At 36.6% G+C, this 21,396-nt stretch overlaps 1 protein-coding gene across 12 annotated transcripts in view; it reads left to right on the forward strand.

Annotated features, from left to right (window-relative positions):
* RNASEH2B (ribonuclease H2 subunit B) overlaps positions 1 to 21,173 on the forward strand; it is a 60,783-nt gene extending 39,610 nt beyond the window's left edge. For 6 of the 12 annotated variants that reach the window (NM_024570.4, XM_047430615.1, XM_006719867.5 and 3 more), the window contains 3 exons: positions 176 to 218; positions 4,618 to 4,698; positions 7,071 to 7,475. In NM_024570.4, the coding sequence (NP_078846.2) occupies positions 176 to 218; positions 4,618 to 4,698; positions 7,071 to 7,187 (241 nt within the window). In that variant the 3' untranslated portion in view covers positions 7,188 to 7,475. Of the gene's footprint in view, positions 1 to 175; positions 219 to 738; positions 4,699 to 7,070; positions 7,476 to 10,857; positions 10,885 to 12,182; positions 20,098 to 20,644 lie in introns of those variants that run through there. The other 6 variants (XM_047430613.1, XM_047430617.1, NM_001411023.1 and 3 more) reach the window with 6 other exon arrangements.

Genomic DNA, 21,396 nt, shown 5'->3' on the forward strand with positions numbered 1-21,396 from the left:
CTCATTTATTGAGAAAACTTTCATTCTTTACACTGAGTTGATTGAACAGGAAGATATATGGAGGTAAAGCTGTAAGTTGAAAAGTAGGACTTACTAAGTCTTAAGTTGGCCCTGTCTTTCTGTTTGTTTGTCTATGAAAAACGATGACTTTGATTGTTATTTTTAACTTTCTTAGGCTTCCAGAACCTTCAGCCTCATTGCCAAATCCTCCATCAAAGGTAAGAAGCTGTGACTAAGATATCTTTGGGGGACTTAGAAAAATATTACACTCTTACCACATGAGTTTAGTTGGTTCTAATATATTTTAAGGTGTACTAAATCCATTTTGCATGGAGTGATGCCATGTGGAATAAAGATTGTACTGGGCTCTCCATCACTATTTTTTATTTTTGTGGATTCCACCTGAATGGTAAATAAAGTGCCATGAAAACCCAAGAAGAGTTGGTTTTAGCAAGGTACCCCTGTGAAAATATTAAAGACATATAGTTAAAATTAAATCTTCCTGCATTAGTTAGATCACTTAATTAAATTTAGTAATCACTAAGCATACTCTATATATAACTAAAACTCATTTTGCCAAATCTAATTGTCACTGGCACAAAGGTGAACAGAAAACAATTTCCATAATACAAAGAATCCTTTGAGCAAAGATGATCACTTTTTTTCTGAATTTGAAATGATTGATGAATTTACGTGTAATCTTTGTTAGTGGAAAATCTTTTCCTCATTCATTCTCAGGCTGCTACCCACAGCTCCTCTGCAGCTGGTATGTTTATCTCCTAGATCCAGAGAATGGAGAAGCCAATCATAAACCACACCTGACTGCAAATTGCAGCGTTCCTTCAGCCCAGGCCAGATCTCAGATGAGTTAAACTCTGCTCCAAGACAGGGAAATAAACATGTGCACCAGCTTGTCAGTGAGGTCATTTCTTCAGCCAGCAAAGTAACGGATGCCTTGAGAATGTAAAATGGACATATTGTGGATGTTACAAACTTTCCTTCTCCCTTGCATTGTTTTCTTGGCCTTCAAGGTAGCTAAAATGCTCATAATTTTTTATGTCATTCCCTGTATAAAGGTGGTGGTGGCTCCAAAGACATTGTCCTTAGAAAAGGACAGAAAATTGAAAGTACAGCAGTGTTTGTTTGGGCCTATGTTCAGCATGTTGTCAAAAAAAAATGCATGTTTTACTCTCTTGGAGAATAGCACTGGGCAGAAGTCTGTTGCTGTAAGATCTAAGGACTGCTCTAGGCCAGACCCATGCGTCTTTCATTCCGGTAGTTAATCTCTGACAGTAGCTCTAGAGGACCTAGAGAGGCACAGTTGTCTTGCTGAAACTAAGAGGGTAGGTTCTCAGCGTGCTTCTTATTTTTCTTCATCCAAAAATGAAGCAGATTTTTTTCTCCCAAATATCTATCTTCCTTAGTAACTTAGAGATCATTCATGAATTGATCTAAACCTATTCTTGAAAGCTTTAACCTTGGATACCTTTTGGAGTAATATGTTTCATAACTTTATTCTTCTCTGCTCCTGATTTCTGTTTTCTTATTTTAATTTTCAGAATTTAAGTTGTTTGTGACTTCATCATTTATGATTTAGATCAGAGATCAGCAAACCTTTTCTTCTAAAGCCAGACAGTAAATATTTTAGGCTCCATGAAGCAGATGGACTCTATTGCAGCTACTCAACTCTGCTGTTGTATTGTGAAAACAGCCACAGATAATACATAAACGAATGAGCATGGCTGTGTTCCAGTAAAACTTCATTTATAAAAGCAGGCAGCCAGCTGGATTTGGCCCCTGGGCCATCATTTGCCAAGCCCTGATTTTGATTTTGGCATCTTGCTCTTCCTAAACCCCAGCCTTGTCTTCTATATTATTTGAGTTGCTTTTCGAGGTCTTCTACTCTGTGTCTTTCTGGGGTTCCAGTGTACACATGACAAACTATACTAGACGATGTACCATCGTTTAAACAAGCGTAGAACATATCTTCTGCTAGCTTTCCTGTCTGTATCCAGGATTTGATTGATTTTTACAGTAATATAGTTGACTGTTTCCAGGAAATATATTCCAGTAGTCATTAGGTATCTTTGTATCTATGTTGTAATCGATAGCGTGGAGCCTGTCATCTTTAATATGTTTTATATTATTTTCCTTTACTATCATATGTCTGCCTTTGTTGAAACTCAGCTTCCAACCCTCACTTGCTCCAGTCTTTTCAATTTGTCACTGTCAGCAAGCAGAGTTGAATGCAACCAGTGGGTTTGGAGATGTTCCCGAGTTCCTTCTTGCAAATCATTTGTAAGAAGGCCTAACATTATCCCTGTGGTACTCTGCAGTTTGTTCTCTTTCCAGAACTGTATCCATTTAGTCATAGCCTTTGTTACTGTCTTTCTGAGCCACTTCTCTGCTGAAACAATCTCCCAAATCCATAGGGATTTGGTCTTTTAAATAACAAAAATTTTAGTAAATGCTTCAATCATCTTTTTTTCCAATATATTCAACAGTGCACTGGGAATAACATACAAACTAGTTATATGTAGAGGCTACCACAATCATTTTCTTTTTTTAAACACTTGTAACTGGTATCTTGTTTTGTTGTGAGCTATTAAAACACCTGAACAAGTCATTTCTCCAATTAAACATTTTATGTCCATACAAAAGTACCTTTCATCTTAAGTTCTTGTAATGAACACTTTTTATTTGAATTATCAATGAAAAGTGAACCTCATCAGTTCAGTGGCACACACTTGTAGTCTTAGCTACTCAGGAGGCTAAGGCAGAAGGTCGCTTGAGCCCAGGAGTTCAAGGCTGTAGTATATGATGATCGCAACTATGAATAGCCACCGCACTCCAGCCTGGGCAACACAGTGAAACCCTGTCTCTAAAGAAAAAAAGGGAATAATGTCTAAGTGTTTATAATGACATCTGTGTTAGGAACATTTTGCCATAGAGAAGGAACACAAGCATCCTCATAACTTCAAGCTTTTTGTGTTTTGAAAATATTTTGGCCTTCAGCATTATTAGCTGTGAGTTTCACCCTCCTAGCTGAAGATACCTTTCTAGTAAAAAATGTGCATCACCTAAACACCCTTTGCTGTCTTAATTTAAATAGAAACATGTATTTTTTTTTTTGAGACAGAGTCTTGCCGTGTCATCTAGGCTGGAGTGCAGTGGCACAATCTCAGCTTACTGCAGTCTCTGCTTCTCAGGTTCAAGCAATTCTTGTGCCTCAGTCTCCGGAGTAGCTGGGACTACAGGCACATGCCACCATGCGCAGCTAATTTTTATATTTTTATTAGAGATGGGGTTTTGCCATGTTGGCCAGGCTGATCTCCAACTCCTGGCCTCAAGTGACCGCCCACCTCGGCCTCCCAAAGTGCTGGGATTACAGGCATGAGTCACTGCACCAAGCTGAAACATATATTCTTAACAAAGTTGCAAATATACATTCACTTGGTGCTGATAGGTGGTTCATTTGTGATGGATTAGTCTTTTTCTTTTAATGATTCATTTGCTAGAGGTTGCTGTGTGGCCAAGAGGTTTTCCTATAGTGTGTGGTATATTCCCAGGATGAGCCTCTGTTTTTTTACAGCAAACAATTTTAAGACATGGTGTTTTATCCTCTTGGGTTATGGGATAAAACACCATGGGCTGTGGAATCTTTTAGCACCAACTCTACCCGTTCTTTGTTTAGCAAAGCAGGGGCATGAAGAATGAAGCTGGGAAGAAGTCTGTTTCCTAGGTTAGATCCATGTTGGGTCTGGTCAACCTGGTGTCTCCATAAACAGCCTGAAAATTATAAAAATCTGGGTTGTGATCACCATGCAGTCAATTCTCCATGTTCAACAGCAAGACTTGTCTTCCCTGCTTTTGTACCTTTTACATAATAAGTGTGGCATGATTTCTTCTATATTGTGATCATTAAGGCCTTGACAAGATTCTCACATTCACTGGTGTAAAATGTTCATGTGAAAGGAGAAAATATTAAGTAAAGGTCTGACTTAGTTGCATTGGGCCTAATGGAAAGAACACTGTATCAGAATTGAAATCTTGGCCAAAGTCCTCTACTTGGTGACCTTAAGCTATTCATTTAGCCTCTCTGTGCTTCCCTCTCTTACTGGCTGCTTGCTTGTGCAAGGTTGTTCTTGCATGGATAAAGTAAGATAAATATTGTCCCTTCATTCATAAGTGGACATTAAACTGGCCCAGGAGGTAAATGAAATAGGGATTCTGGCTGGACACCTGGCCCCCTTCAAGAGACTATTCTCATTTTGACTTCTGTGCCTTGCATTCATCTGGTAATTAGCAATCCCCTCATGCCCACCACACCTGGCACCTACAAAGCCTGTGTTTGCTGGACCAGCTAAGGGGCTCAGCCATGTACTTACCCAATCATATCCACCATCACCAAGGCTGCTTCTTAGGAGTGATGTGTGGCTCAATTCCCTAGATGATTGGCAAAATGTAAAGGAGCCTGTAAAAAGTAAGCCCTTTGCTGGGTCTGCTGTCCCATTCGCCTCTGTAGAGGTCTAAATTATACATGTTGGGTTTTTTTTTAATGGATTGATGTTGTGTCAAAGTGACATTTGACACCACTTCACTGCTCTAATGTTGCAGAAAATAAAGTTATCAGATGAGCCTGTAGAAGCAAAAGAAGATTACACTAAGTTTAATACTAAAGATTTGAAGACTGAAAAGGTATGTGGGTTCAGGTGTAGTGGTGTTTCGTTCATACTCAGTGCGTGATGTGCATGAATACATGAGGAACAGTTGCACGCTTGATTGTGATTACAGTTTTGACCAGGAAGAATTATTAACTTGCATTTCTGTGACTTAATAATTAAGAATTGCATATGACAATGAAAATGTTAAGCAACTAAGACTTATTATTAGTCAGAGAAAAACAATATACTACTTATCAAGAGTGTGCCTAAATTTTGCTATGTATTCATAGAGTGATAGGGTGGGAAAGGAGGGAGGAAGCTCTACAGGTAATTTTTTGTCAACCCTGCTGCCCAGAAGCAGAAATTATGATGATAAAAATTAATAATTTCACCATTCAGCATTCACCCTGGCAAATGGCATTTTGGTAACAGTCCTTACTTAGTTTTATACATGCATTATAAATACATATGTGGCCTTTAACATTGGCATTATAATACTCAGTTCTGGGCTTTTTATTTAACATTAAATTGTGAAAATGTTCACATATCATTAAACATTCTTTGAAAAAATATTCATGTTTTTATGATATTCAGTCATGGGTGTTTGTTTCACCATATGGAATGTAATTTAATCATTTCCCTATATTTGGACATATAGGTTACTTCTGATTTTTTTATTTTTTGTTTTTATTGAAGTGATAGACATTCTTATTTACAGTCTGTATCTCCAATCATTTCATTAGACACAATTTTGAACTAAGACTAAGAGCTTGGAGAACATGAATTCTTTCATAATTGAAATATATATAGCTAAAGTGCTTTTCAAAAATGGAGAAAGTTGTGCTTCCAAACATTATTGCCAATGAGTATTTATCTTGCATTTTTGACGACATTGAGTATTGCTTTTATTCTTGAACATTGTTGCCTGTCAAATTAGGCTACATTTCTTTAACTAGAAAGGTTCTTTTTCCAAATGCTTATGGCCCATTTGCATTTTTGCAAATTGTTGGTTCCTGTCGCTTGCCTGTTTTTATGTTGAGATAGTAATGTTTCTCTGTTGCTTTGTATGAGCTCATTCTAAATTAAGGCTATTAACACTTTTCATGAAATATAGGATACAAACTTGTTTTAACTTTTTCATTTGATTTTTTAACAGTGTTAAATTTTTCTGAGTGTTAAGTACAGAAATTGTTTCCCTTTATGATTTTTCCATTGTTTTTATGCTTAGGAAGGCCTTGCCCATCTCAAGATAAGTTAACTTTCACTTAGATTTTAAAAATACTAACTGCCCTTTGAGTTTAATGTTTTTTAGAACTGTTATTCTTGAATCAATATGTAATTTATTTGGGCATATGATACTGAGGATAGTTCGATTTAAGATCTGCCCAAATAGCGAGTTATCTCGATGCTGTGTCAACAGGGACATTGTCAGTTTCTCTGAGAGAAATCTTTGTGCCCCGCCCTTCTGTGGGAGTGCCACTTATTGTATCCACTTGGGCACAGCATGGAGAATGTCTTAAATGCACCAGATAAGTCTGAAACAGACTGTTGCTTTGCACCATTGAGTCAAAAATAAGCCTACTAAATTATAAGTGACAGAATGTGAAAAGCAGAATTGTGGGAATCATATACTGTGCCTCTAAAAAATACTTTATCAATGACTTTGTCTTACAGTTCCCAGGGAGACAGGTGATTTTTTTGTTTTCTGATTCCCATCATTTATGCTTCTTCTGAACAATTTGTGGTGCATCTGCATCAAAGTTAAATCAGCTGCTATTTACCTTCTGCAAGTGCTTTATATAAGACATGGAAGAAAAAAATTCAGTGACCAGAGAGAGATAGAAATGTACAGGGCAGAATTATTTGGAGTCAGCTTTTTGGAAAGTATTGCTTTGTTGGAGGAAAAATAAGGCAGCTATCCTGCTGGTCTGGGATGCTTTGCAACACAAGTCATCTTTTGAATATCATAGGGTTGTCCTTGGTTTCCCATGGAGCAAATGAATAAAATCAGATGGTAAATTGGTGTGAATTATTCATCATGTGGTAATACAAGGCTGTAATTCCTACCTCTGACAATTGCGGCCTGTGTCAGTTCCATTGTTTGTGTTATTGTACTTTATGCACCCTCCAGAATTATCTACCCCCTCCCCAGTGTAAACCATTGGTTGGAACATTCTGCTTCTTAGAAGGCAGCAGTTTTGTCTTCTGCCTCTTTTAACATATTCTGTCTCTTAGGTCTGAATTCTGAATAGAAATCAGAACTTTTTCACTCCCTTATGAAGCATGTTAGTGGGGGATGCTTACCTTCCTTAATGAAACTTGAGACATGCAGTCTTCTTTGATTTCCATATATGATTAATAAATGTTACATTCATAACAATTTTTCTCTCTTATTTTCATTAACAGAAAAATAGCAAAATGACTGCAGCTCAGAAGGCTTTGGCTAAAGTTGACAAGAGTGGAATGAAAAGTATTGATACCTTTTTTGGGGTAAAAAATAAAAAAAAAATTGGAAAGGTTTGAAACTTTGAAAATAAAATCTAGCAAAAATATTTGCTTTTTACATGTTTCAGTTTGTCCTTCCTGACTGTTAATGACTACCTTTGGTTGGGGGAAGGAAGAGGCCAATTTCATGTTCTCTTAAACATTTCTTTGCATTTGGTTTTTGTGTTCCTGAACAAAATATGGGAAAGTGTCTAACTTCATGGCTATGGCCTTTTGGAGTCTCATCTGACATAATGAAAAGTAATCACTTGAAGAGAATTAACATATAGCATCATGATTTTCTCAATAAACTGATGTGTGACAATGTTAGAGTGTATGACTGCTTTTTAATGCAACTTTGCATTCAGTAGGTTTAGTAATAATATTTTCAATATACTGAGAGAAACTGGATTACAAAACTGTGAGGTAAATTGTTACTTTAAAAAGGCTTTAGTTTTTGGTAAATTTTTTTTTTTTTTTTTTGACACGGAGTCTCGCTGTCACCCAGGCTGGAGTGCAGTGGCGCGATCTCGGCTCACTTTTTAGAAAATAGAGAAAATAATAAGAACTTCAATCTCCCATTTCTTCATTACCCAGAGATAATGTATTGTCTTATAATAATTTTTAGAAAGGAATTACAGTTACTTTGTAACCTTTTTTTTTTTTCAACTTTTATTTTAGACTCAGGGGGTACATATGCAGGTTTGTTACAGAAGGATACTGTGTGATGCTGAGGTTTGGGATGTAATTGAACCTGTCACCCAGGTAGTGAGCATAGTACCCAATGGGTAATTTTTCAAGCCTTGCTCTCCCACTCTTCCTCCCCTTGAAGTCCCCAGTGTCTATTATTGCCATCTTTAAGTCCATTTGTACCCAATGTTTAGCTCTTACTTATAAGTGAGAACATGTGGTATTTGGTTTTCTGGTTTTTTTGCATTAATTCGCTCAGGATAATGGCCTCCAGCTGCATCCATTTTGCTGCAAAGGACATGATTTCATTCTCTTTTATGGCTGTGTAGTATTCCATGGTGTATATATGCCATGTTTTCTTTATCCATTCCACTGTTGATGGGCTCCTGGGTTGATCCCATATCTTTGCTATTGTAAGGAGTGCTGTGATGAACATACAGGTGCATGTATCTTTTTGGTAGAATAATTTATTTTCCTTTGAGTACATAGCCAATAGTGGCCAATAGTGGGATTTCTGGATCGAATGGTAGTTCTGTTTTTAGTTCTTTGAGAATTCTTCAAACTGCTTTCCATAGTGGCTGAACTAATTTACATTCTCACCAAAAGTGTTCCCTTTTCTCTGCAGCCCTGCCAACATCATCTGTTATTTTTTTACTTTTAAATAATACCTGCTCTGACTGGTAGGAGATGGTATCTCATTGTGGTTTTCATTTGCTTTGCTCTGATGATTAGTGATGATGGGCGTTTTTTAATATGTTTGTGATCACTTGTATGTCTTCTTTTGAGAAGTGTCTGTTTATGTCTTTTGCCTACCTTTTAATGGGGTTATTTGTATCTTATTGATTTGTGTAAGTTCCTTATAGATTCTGGATGTTAGTCTTTTGTCAGTTGCATAGTTTCTCTCACTCTAGGTTGTCTGTTTACTCTGTTGATACTTTATTTTGCTGTGCAGAAGCTCTTTAGTTTAATAAGGCCCCCACTTGTCAATTTTTATTTTTGTTGCAATTGCTTTTGAGCACTTAGTCATAAATTGTTTGCCAAGGCTGATGTTGAGAAGGGTATTTCCTAGGTTTTCTTCTAGGATTTTTATAGCTTGAGGTCTTACAGTTAATTCTTTAATCCATCTTTAGTTAATTTTTGTATATGGTGATAGGTAGGAGTCCAGTTTTATTCCTCTGCATATGGCTGGTCAGTTATCCCAGCATCATTTATTGAACAGGGAGTCCTTTCCCCATTGCTTATTTTTGTTGACTTTGTTGGAGATCAGATAGCTATAGGTGTGTGGCTTTATTTCTGGGTTCTCTATTCTCTTTCTTTGGCCTATGTGTCTGTTTTTGTATCAGTACTATATTGTCTTGATTACTGTAGCCTTGTAGTATAGTTTGCAGTTGGGTAATGTGATACCTCTGGCTTTGTTCTTTTTGCTTAGGATTGCTTTGGCTATCCAAGCTTTTTTTTGGTTCCATATGAATTTTAGAATAGTTATTTTCTAATTCTGTGAAAAATCACAGTAGTTACCTTTTTATAAACATTATTTTGTTACTATTTTCCCAGACTACTAACTGTTCTTCATAAATATGTTTTTTAATGACAGTATAATTTTTGATTATTTGGATATTTGATTATTTAATAACCATGATCCTGTTTGGACATTTGGATTATTCACAAATGTTCACTATTTGAAGAATCAGATTATAAGTAAATATTTGTCCACATATTTTATTGTTTCCTTATAATGGATTTTTGGATGTGGGCTTATTGGATTTTCAAATATATATTTATGGGAATATATTTCATGGAAAGTTTATAAGCTTTTGCACTCTAGGCTTATTTTAATGGTCTTGCACTCTAACAAACAGTGGGTGTGAAAGCTTAATGCCACCTTGTTAGCATTGGTTGTTACCTTTGGAAATAAGTGTAAAAACATTTTATTGTGGTTTTAATTCATATTTCCCTGATTAGTAGTGATTTTGAACATTTTTTCATACTTACTAATCAATTGTCATCTTATAGAGAATTGTCTTTTATATTCTTTGCTAAATTATTAGAGTATCAATATTTTTCTTATTGACTAAAAGTATTCTATAACTTAAGGACATTAATTATTTCTACTGTGTTTGTTGTAAATTTCCTTTCTTGGTTTATACTTTGCCTTTAATTTTGCCTATGATTTTTGACATGCAGGTGTTTTTAGTTTTTATGTAGACATATATACATAAACTTTTCCTTTACACAGATATTGTACTTAGAAAGATATTTCATTTTACAGGAAATTTAACCAGACACTTTTATTTTCTTCTGATTTTTTTAATAGTTATGTTTTTGGTTCTTTTTTGTTTTTTTTTTAGATGGAGTTTCGCTCTTGTTGCCCAGGCTGGAGTACAATGGCGTGATCTCAGCTCACCACAACCTCCGCCTTCAGGGTTCAAGTGATTCTCCTGCCTCAGCCTCCCGAGTAGCTGAGATTACAGGCATGTGCCACCACGCCCAGCTAATTTTGTATTTTTAGTAGAGACGGGGTTTCTCCATGTTGGTCAGGCTAGTCTTGAACTCCCAACCTCAGGTGATCCATCCGCCTTGGCCTCCCAAAGTGCTGGGATTACAGGCGTGAGCCACCACGCCTGGCCTATTTTTGTTTTATATTTAATTACTTAAATCATCTAGAGAATGTGTAATTATGTTTAAATATGCTGTGAGGTAAAGCTGTAATTTAATTATTTTCTCACCAGTTTAGTTTTTCATTTAATCTGTAGGATTATTTTGTCAAGTTCTAAGAGTAAGTTCCAATGGGATTTTTACTGAGATTTTGTTAGATGCATAACTTACTTTGGGAAAACAAACATCTTTACAAACTTAAATATTCTTATTTGGGAATATAGTATTTCTTTTTAGTTACTCAAGTCTTAAGAATACCTTTCACTAATGTTCGGTTCTTCATCTTCAATAGGTTCTAGACATATCTTTGTATGAGTATGTGTAGATATTTTCATTGCTATTAATGAAATCTGTTTTTTTCCAGCTAGGTCTACCAACTGGTCATTTTGTGGTAAAGTTTTATATTTTTATATATTTATCTTTTAAATAACCAGTTTACTAAACTATTAATGGAAAAATTTTCCATTTTATTTATTTTGGGTTTTAGTACATAATATAGTATGTAATTTAGTTTTTAAAAATTGCATGCAATTCTTTCTAATAGTTACACCTCTTTTATTATATATTTTACATTATATTACATGGGCTAGAATATCCAGAACAGTATTAAAGAGTAATAATAGCCGTCTTTGTCTAATTGGTGATTTTATTGATGTGCTTTACCATTAATTCTGACACTAGCTGTTGCTAATATGATAAAGACTATCCATCCTTTTATACTTAGTTTCCTTAAGGTTTAAATTAATAATTGGTGTTGGTTGTTATCAGAAAGCTTTTTGGCATCTATTGAGGTGTCTATAAAGTTTTTACTACTTACTATCAAACTGTACCCAAATGTCTAATAAACTCACCCTGGCAGTAGATAAAGGATCAATAGCATAATGGATACATCCTATCTTTCTTAACCTTTGTCAAATATAGTTTTCAATTAGACTTTCTACACTTTTATTAAGGAATTTTGCAGACATATTCATAAGCAATGCTGCTGTTAGGCTTTAGCGTTAGAATTAGGCTAGCTTTCCATTTTTTCCAATGTTCTGGAAGGATTCATTTTGCATTATTATATTCTATTGCTGGAAAATGTTTAAGAATCTTAGAGGTAAAACTATCTAGCACTGGAGCCTTTTTGTTGTTATAGTTTTCTTTAATCTGCAAGAGTTTCTCATCTGTTCTTTGTCTTACTTGACATTTTTGAGTACAGGGTAAATATTTGCTGGAATATTTCTTATTCTAATATTTCTTTTTGATTAAATTCAAGTCATACTCTTAGGGCACCTCCAGGAGTAATATGTCTTTCTCAGTACACCATGGCAGGAATCACAGTCTATCCCAATATCAGTGTTGTTGACTTTGATCACTTGATTAAGGTGCTGCCTACAGTTTTCATTGTGAATTATTGTTGATTATTTTTATAATTAATAAGTAATTTGTGGGTAAGTATTCTGGGACTTTGTAAGTATCCTATTTCTTATCGGATGTTTGCCCACTATTTTTAGGATCTGATGATTTTCTAACTTTCATTTCTTCTATATTTATCAGTTGGCATTCTTCTGTAAGGAAGAACTTTCCCTTTTCCTTGCTTCTTCCCTCATTTATGAATTCTTAACAGTATGGATTTATAGATTTTTATTTTATCCAGTGGGCTATATTGCATTATTATTATTAATTTTAATGCTCATGTTGTTTCAGAAGAGCTAGTGGGAGACCCTTCAAGCTGACTTGTGTATCTTTTGGGTATGTTTCTATCATTCTTTAATACATTCCTGCTTCTGCGACTGGAGTTTCAGCCTCTTGTCCTGTGCAAGCCCTGAATCCACCTTTTTTTCAAAGAACCCTGGTTCCTTTCAGTGAAGAATGGTATTTAGAAACCAAGATCTAGGCAGTAGGTATGCTCATTGCTATTGGTATGTCATTGCTTAGGAGCCAAAGCTAGGAAATGTGTGTGTGTGTACAACATGTACACACACATATATACACTATATACTCGTATCAACATTTCTAAATCTATCCATGTATCTATCAGTATTTATCTATGTGTGTGGTTTTTTGTAGATTCCCTTTATCAGGCTGAGAAAGTTTCCTTCTGTTCCTAGTTCACTGAGAGTTTTTATCATATATAGGTATTTATCATATGTGGATATTGTCAAATAATTTGTATCTACTGAGATGATCAAGTAGTTTTCTTTTTAATAGAGGAATGTCTTTTAATATATGAATTATAATGATTGATTTTTGAATGTTAAACTAATTTTGCATTCTTGAGATAATCCCTACTTGGTCACAGTATATTATTCTTTTTATATGTAGTATGGGGTTTTTTTCCTAATATTTTGTTAAGTACTTTTTTGTATCTCTGTTCATGAGGGATATTGGTCTGTGGTTTTCTTTACTTGTAATGATTTTGTCTGATTTTGATGTCAGAGTAAAACTGGGCTTATAAAATGAGTTGGGAAGTATTCTTTCATCACTTATTTTCTGAAAGAGTTTGTGTGAGGTTGGTGTTGTTGCTTCCTTATATGTCGGACACAATTCACCAGTGAAGCCATTTGGACCTGGAATTTTCTTTGGGGGAAACTTTTAAATTACTAATTCAATTTCTATAATAGATGAAGAGCTATTCTAATTTTCTTTTTTTTTCTTGTGCCAGTTTTGGTAATTTATGTCTTTCAAGAAATGTATCCATTTGATCTAGGTTGTCAAATTTATTGGCATAAGTTGTTCATCACATTTTTATTATCCTTTTAATGTCTGTGGATCTGTAGTGATATTCCCTTTTTCATACCTGATGTTGGTCATCTGTGTCTTCTTTTTGCTTTCTCTGTTAGTATAGCTAAAGGTTTGTCAATTTCATTGATCCTTTCAAAGAATCATTGTCTTCTGGCTTGCATAATCTCTGATGAGACATCTATGATATTTCTTATATTTCTTCTCCTTTACATAATGTGTCTCCTCCTCATGGGTTCTTTTAAGATTTTCTTCTTTATTACTAGTTTTCAGCAAGTTGACTATGATGTGTTGATGTGGTTTTCTTTTTGTTTATCTCATTTGGGAGTGTATTAAGCTCCTTGAACTTTTGAGTTTTTAATTTTCATCAAATATGGAAAATTTCTGGCCAATATTTCTTTAAATACCTTTTTCCATTCTTTCCTCCCTTTTCTCCCTATCCCCTCAGCTTCTGGCCTCCAATTTCATGTATGCTGGAACACTTGGTATTGTCCTCCAGGTCCTATCACTGAGTTTCTGTTTTGTTGGTTGTTTGTTTTTTTATGTTCCATTTTTAGACAGTTTCTAGGTGTATCTTCAAGTTTACTTTGATTTATAGCATTTCATCTTCTGTTAACCTTAGTTATTTAATTTTTACTTTAAATATTGTAATTTTATTTATTTATTTATTTATTTTTGAGATGGAGTTTCGCTCTTGTTGCCCAGGCTGGAGTGCAATGGCACAATCTCAGCTCGCTGCAACTTCCGCCTCCCGGGTTCAAGTGATTCACCTGCCTCAGCCTCCCAAGTAGCTGGGATTACAGTCATGCGTCACCAGACCTGGCTAATTTTGTATTTTTAGTAGAGATGGGGTTTCTCCATGTTGGTCAGGCTGGTCTTGAACTCCCGACCTCAGGTGATCCGCCCACCTCAGCCTCCCAAAGTGCTGGGATTACAGGCCTGAGCCACCACGCCCGGCCTTAAATATTGTAATTTTTAGTTCTAGACGTTCCATTTGGTTCTTCTTTATGTCTTCCCGTATCTGTTCTTATTATGCTTGCAGTTTTCTTTAAATACTTCAATATAGTTAAAATAGCTACTTAAATGTCCTCATTTGCTAGTTCTATTATCTTTGTTATTTTCTATCTTCTAGGTCTATTTTTCTCCTCTCTCTTTTACTTTATTTTGAAATAATTTTATACTTTTCTAGAAAAGTCACAAAAATAGTAGAGTTTAGATATGATGTTCACCCAGCTTCCCTCAGTATTAGCATACATGACCATACTACAAAGATCAAAACCAGAAAATTTACCTTATTGTACTTTCACCTATCTTTCCACTAATACTTTTTTAATTTCAGAATTCAGTCTGTGATGGTACATTGCATTTAGCTGCCACATCTCTTCAGTGTTTTCTAATTTGTAAGAGTCCCGGCCGGGTGCGTTGGCTCACGCCTGTAATCCCAGCACTTTGGGAGGCCAGGGCGGGCAGATCACCTGAGGTCAGGAGTTTGAGATAAGCCTGACCAACATGGAGAAACCCCATCTCTACTAAAAATACAAAACATTAGCCAGACATGGTGGCACATGCCTGTAATCCCAGCTACTCGGGAGGCTGAGGCAGGAGAATCACTTGAACCCAGGAGGTGGAGGTTGCAGTGAGCCGAGATCACACCACTGCACTCCAGTCTGGGCAGTAAGAGGAAACTCCATCTCAAAATAAAAAAAAGAGTCCCTCAATATTCCTTTGTCTTTCAATGACCTTGACACTTTTGAGAGTAGTAGCCAGTTTTTTTATAAATGCCCCTTAATTTTTGAGATACTTTGAAACTATGTTAATATCCTATTTCTTTTACGATCATTTCACTATACTACTAACTAATAATACTGACAAACACTGTATAGCATTTATGTGCTTGGCATTGATCTAAGCACTTTACATATAATAACTCATTTAATCCCTACAAAAATTATAATCATAGAGTGCCATACGAGCCAGAATAGTGACACCCACCCAAAGCTCAAAAGATGAGAGGAGGAGCTGCTTAAACACTTGCATTATTATCCCTGTTGAAAGTTAGCTTCTTCACAATAGGAACTCTGTACCATTCAAGCTTGTGTCTTGCACGGTGCCGAGCACACAGTATGCAATTGGTAAAGGATGAGTACATGATAGTCAGACAGGTTGAATAATCTCAGCAATATTCTCACTAATTGAGACTTGATTGTTTTTTCCAGCAAAGTCGAGATCTTTATCTACCTTTAAAGTGCCTAAGCTGTTTTCTGGGTTTCTTTTGGGTCCTTGAATATGCCAAGCTGTTTCCACACTGGTGCCTTTGTATGACTGGTTTGTCTCTATGTGCCTTTTTCTGAATCTTCACAGGACTGGCTCCATCTTGTTATTATCACTTATCTTAATCACTTTTCCAGAGACCCAATCCTTGACCTTCCTCCCCTACCCCCACCCAGCTCCTACTCAGTACTCTCCATACCATTTTCCTGCCTTACTCCCTGCATAGGACCTTGCCTGACTGCTTCACATATAGTCATGCCCCGCACAGCAATGGTTTGATTGATGGCAGACTGCATATGCGATGGTGGTCCCATGAGACTATAACACAGAGCTGAAAAATTCCTATCACCTAGTGAGTTGTAGCCATCATAACGTAAGGTTGTAGCACATTGCATTACCTTTTATATGTTTAAATAAGTTTAGATATACAAGTACTTACTATTGTTTTACAGTTGCCTACAGTATTCAGTACACTAACATGCTATACAGGTTTGTACCCCAGGAGCAGTAGGCTGTACCATATAGCCAAGGTGTGTAGCAGACTACACCATAGGTCTGTATAAGTTGTATAAGTACACTCTGTGATGTTCACACAACAACGAAATTGCTTAGCAACACTTTTCCCATAACATATCCCATCATTAAGCAACACATGACTGTACATACACAGCACCTAACTTGGGGTTGCATACAGTAGACCTTCAACAGATGTTTGTTGCATGAGAGAATTAACCAACCAACCAATCCATCAATCCATCCTGGACACCCCAGACAGGTGTTCAGCAATACAGTGTTGGAGTCCTTGACAGCCTTGTGGCTAAACCTTGAACTTCAAGAGTCGTTCTGAGAATGAGTTTTCTGTGATGCATTAGTATTTGAAGTCCAAGGACTTATTCATAAACTCACTCATAAACTTGTATGGGCCTTAAATTTGTGTGTTAATGTTGCTGGTAATAAATGAAATAGATACAGTCTTTAATCTCTCTGGATAAAGGGCTGTGAATTTTCTTCTGTCAGTTGATTGAACTGCACTTACTGGAGTCATTTTACGTAGCATTTAGAGATTATTTATATTAAGCCCGCAACCTAAATTATTGCAGTTTGAGAATATATGTGGTTTTTATAAACTCTTTGTATTCACAGAGGCTTGAATAGGAGCTCATATTATGATTTAGCTACAAATTATTTGGGAATTTGGTAAACTGGCAATTTTGTTTTCTTGCCTGTTTCACTTTACCTTTGATGCCAAGTTGAAGATCTCACTGGCAATGTACAACATAACTGAGCTGAATAATAATTGAAAAGTGAAAAACAAAAGGTATTACACATACCAGGTGCCATTTTGGGGAATAATATTAGGAATAAATCCATGTGGGTTTATAGTTATACATAAAATGTTCATATACACACATAACACACATAAACACACATATATACACATAAGTACACACAAACATAAATGCATACCCACATATGGCACAGATACAGACTTAAATCTACATAGCCTGTCCTTTAGAATTCTTTAAGGAATTTCAGACTAGAGCCTTTTTAGACTCTTGTACTAAACATTAGGATACGCTAGCCTACTTGAATCCTTTGGCCCTTTGCTTCTCTTACTTACATCATTTTTCTCTTTGATTAATGTGCCAAGTTTGGGAAAGCTTCACAACATTTCCACAAACTGCAAAACCACTTGGGTACATAGACAAAAGCCTCCATCTTTTTCATCAAGCCATATATTTTTTTTTTTCTGAAACTGATCACAGGTTGCCAACATTCTTTTTTATTTCTAGTTTATCTTCAATTTAAATTTACCTTGTAGTCTCAGACCCTGTCATCTTTCAAGGTTTGTGCTTCTCGGTTCTGCACTGCCAAAGAGACTCTCCTCTGTAAGGCTTAAATTGGATGTCAAGTGGAATTGTCTTTTGTTTGTTCGAATCTGTTTCATATTGTGCTGCTGTCCATTCCCAAAATCATATTTCTCTTATTTGGGGCCTTAGCAAGACACAAAGGCAAGCTCTAAGTGAGAACCTAAAGTGTACCTGTTTTCTTACTAAATGTACAGTGTTGTTTATATTGTATGCAAACTTCTGACAACAGTGAACAAATATCTTAATCTTTAAAAATATAAATAAAGTGAAAAAAGGACTTCACATCAACCATGTTTCAGTACTAAACAGACTAATTAATACAACATGGCAGGATTGTTCCTGGTTGTAGTCTCAGTTCCGCCTTAATTCTGTGAGCCATGGAGGAAGTCATTGGCATCTCTGGCCCCCAGTCACTTCTCAGCATGAAATGGGACTATATCATCAAGATTTTTTATGTCTTTCCCTCCAGCCGCTGGTGCTTGGGGAGCCATGTCTCCTTTACACCTGGGAGGAAAGTGCTTTTAGAGTTATCTTTCATGCAGTGCTTACCATGCACTAGGCACTCCCCTAAACTCTTTAGATGAACCAGCTCATGTGTTTTGCTGGAAGAAAGTCTGGAAGAAAATACAACAAAATGCTCATACTGGGTTTTGGGGTGCCCATGATATGTGTATATGTATATTTCTTTTCTTCATTTTTCAAAGATTATTTCACTTTGCCATAGAAAGAAATACAAAGAACACAATTGTTGGAAAGTAATAACAAAGACTGGCAAAGCGCATTGTGATTTTTAAAGCAACTTTGACATGAATTTATGTGTTTAATCTTTCCAGGAGCCATATGGCACAAAGGGTATTATTTCTCTTGTTTTGCAGTTGAACAAGGGAAGGTCAGCTCATTTCCCCAACATCACACAGCTAATGAGTAACTGAGCCAGAACTTGAATTCAGGACCTCTCACATCCAGACTCTACCACATCAAATTCCCTTTCCCCAGTGGCTCTAACTTTGACTCTGTTACATCCTAGAACATCACCTCTTTACCAGATATGAAAGACAACCTTTTCACATAGTTTAGGAGTTGACTTTCTCTGTTCTTAAAGCTGATCTAACTTGACTAGCTGCCTTGTATTACATATTTTCTCCCAAACACCCCTTTCTCTAGGACGAATCCAAAATTTGGCAATCTTGGGAGTTAGCTATGTCATAGTCAGATCTCTTGGAAGACAAAGAGCTCCAGGTCTAGAGAAGCAAGTGGGAGGGTGTTTTCCAAGTGTACTTAGAAAATGTTTATGAGCTTTGTCCTCATCTGAATAATCAGAAGATATGATTTGATTTTTACACCTTGGTATACACTTGGAGATTACACAGTCCTGAGGTTTATATATTCCTCAGAGCCATTAGACTGACCAAAAGGGTTCGTCCCTGTGTTTCATAGTATTTTTACAGTTCTCACAGCAATCACTTATCAGTATTTAAATTGACCTTAGCTGGGCACAGTCACTCACTTCTGTAATCCCAGTACTTTGGGAAGCTGAGGCCAGAAGTTTAAGTCCAGCCTGGACAACATAGCAAGACTGTTTCTACAAAAAAAAAAATAAAAAATTAGCCAGGTGTGGTGGCACACACCTGTAATTCTAGCTACTTGGGAGGCTGAGGAGGGAGAATTGCTTGAGGCTAGGAATTCAAGGTTACAGTGGACTATGATTATAACACTCCACTTCAGCTTGGGTGACAGAGCAAGACCCTGTCTCTTAAAAAAGTAAAATAAAATAAATTAATCTTTACAACAACCCTCCAAGGTAGACCAGAAAGAGGTGGTATCCTTATTTTATTGATGGTCTGTGTGAGGTCATACAGACAGTAGGTGGCCAAGCCCAGATGCCAAGCCTAAGCCTCGTTCCTTTTGTTTACCCAAGGTTCCTATTCATACCATTATATGACCATTTAGCCTTAAATAATCTGTTTTAATTGCAAATTTTATTTTAAGAAAGGAAAAAAATCACATTTATTCTGCTGCATCTTCTTGCTTTATTCATAATGAATTCTGCAGGTCAATTTATCCTCAACGATGGCAAGCCAGAATTTAAGTAAAGCTTCTACTTAGCTGGTACATTTGCATGTCAAATCTTTAATTCAGCTGTCAGTGTTTTAGCATTTACTGTACTTTCATTAATAAATGTTATTTTGATGGTCTCAGGCTAATCAAGACTATTTGAAATGGGGGACGGCACCAAATGAAATTTACAGAGAAATCAGAGCTTCTTCATGGACTTTAAAATAATTGTTACTTTACACGTGTTTGAAATCAGAATACTTGTAAAATTAAAGTTAGACATGTTGTTCTTGCATAAACAAGCAAAAGAAGCTAAGGAATCAACTTAGATTTATTTGTTCCTTTAAGAGCATGTACTGAGCACCTGCTGTGTGCTAGACATGTTGTAGATAGAGGAAATGCGGATATCAACATGGCAGGCAAAAATAACCTGCCCTCAAGAATTTCCATTCTAGAGCGAGTAGACAGATGATATCTCAGATAGTGCCAGGGCCTATGGAAAAAGCTGACCAGGCAGGGCACTGAATTCTGGGGAGTGGGTGGTCAGGGAAGGCCTTGCTTCCTTCTCATCCACATTCTGGCATAGAAGTTTGATTTCCATGTACATGTTTTTTTTTGTAACATATAGCTCCAGAATACGTTATTTTTAACTTTGCACTCAATAAAAAATCAACTTGTAGTAATTAAACTTGTTCAGTACATTCTTCACAGGGACATTAGGTGCTACTACTTCTATCAGCAACAAGTATATGCTTATCTATTTTTTATACATTGGAGTCTACACAAGGCTTCCTGCTTTTTATAAAAGGAACTGCCTCTACAAAAAAAAAAAAAAAAGAAAAATGGTTTAAGAATTACTCATCTCAGAACGTTACTTTCGTGCATTTCTTGTATTTTATTTTTTTTCCTATAAGATGGTGCCCATCCTGTAAGTTTGGGCCACCCCAACATTATATTTCACTCCCTTTGAACATTCAAAGAAAAACATACTTCTTGGTGTGCTCTCGAGGAGCCTGCTATGAACCCTAGAATGAGATCTCGGAGGCTGGCCACGATGGGAACCCCTTCCTGTGTCTGAGGTCATCTCTTAGAAGCGAAAATGCTCAGCTGCCCTCAGGACTAAACCCGCCAGCCCTGCGTTCTGTTCTAGGAGCTGCAGATGGTGCTTGGGGTTTCAGGTGACTGTTTCTCCTCACCAGGACACACCACATGTTTTCCTTTCCTCTCTAGATGGCAGCACAAAGACAGAAAAGGGGCAAGTGATGGTGGTGGCTCCACGCAAGGCTTGGCGGTTTTCCCTGCAACTTCAGACACTCCCAGAGGACTCGGACTTTTTCTTCTGCACTTTTTTGGAAAATCGCCAGGTGCCAAAAGGTGCATTTTAAAGCGCTGACTGTAAATGCTTTATTTCTTTGATTAGTACCACTAGTCTATGTGGGCAGCGGCATTCCTCCCTGGAGCACTCAGCTAGGCGGTTCCGTCCAGGAGCTTGAAAGCATCCCAGCGGTGCACCTGTTCAGTCTGAGGACCTCAAGCTTGGGTCAGGCCAGCATGTTTTAGGTATGGATGTGGTGACTTAAAGTACTTGATTGTCTTGATTTCACCCTGAAAGCTTTGGCAAACCAAGTTTCAACCCTTACTTTAAAAATCTGACACTGCTTTACTCCATATCAATTTGGAAGCTTCTAATTCATAAATATACCTAAACGTTGGCATTTTATCTCTCCAGGAGTTATTAAACATTTCTTCCTTTTTAGAAGATTTGTCCAGTATGTGTATTATTTTATTTTTCAGAGTAAGGACATAGGAGATGACGGAAGGTTGGAAGTAGATGCCAAAAAGTGATTTGGTGGGGAATCTGGTGCGTAGTGCATATGTTTTAGCAGGTAGTGGGAGGTTTTGTGCAAAAATGTCTGTGGATTTGAGCTGGCTTGTCCACTTGACATGCAAGAGGAATGTGTGGGTGCTGCTCAGCTGATCTT

The sequence above is a fragment of the Homo sapiens genome, chromosome 13 (genome assembly GCF_000001405.40).
Source record: "Homo sapiens chromosome 13, GRCh38.p14 Primary Assembly".
NCBI classification, from domain to species: Eukaryota; Metazoa; Chordata; class Mammalia; order Primates; family Hominidae; genus Homo; species Homo sapiens.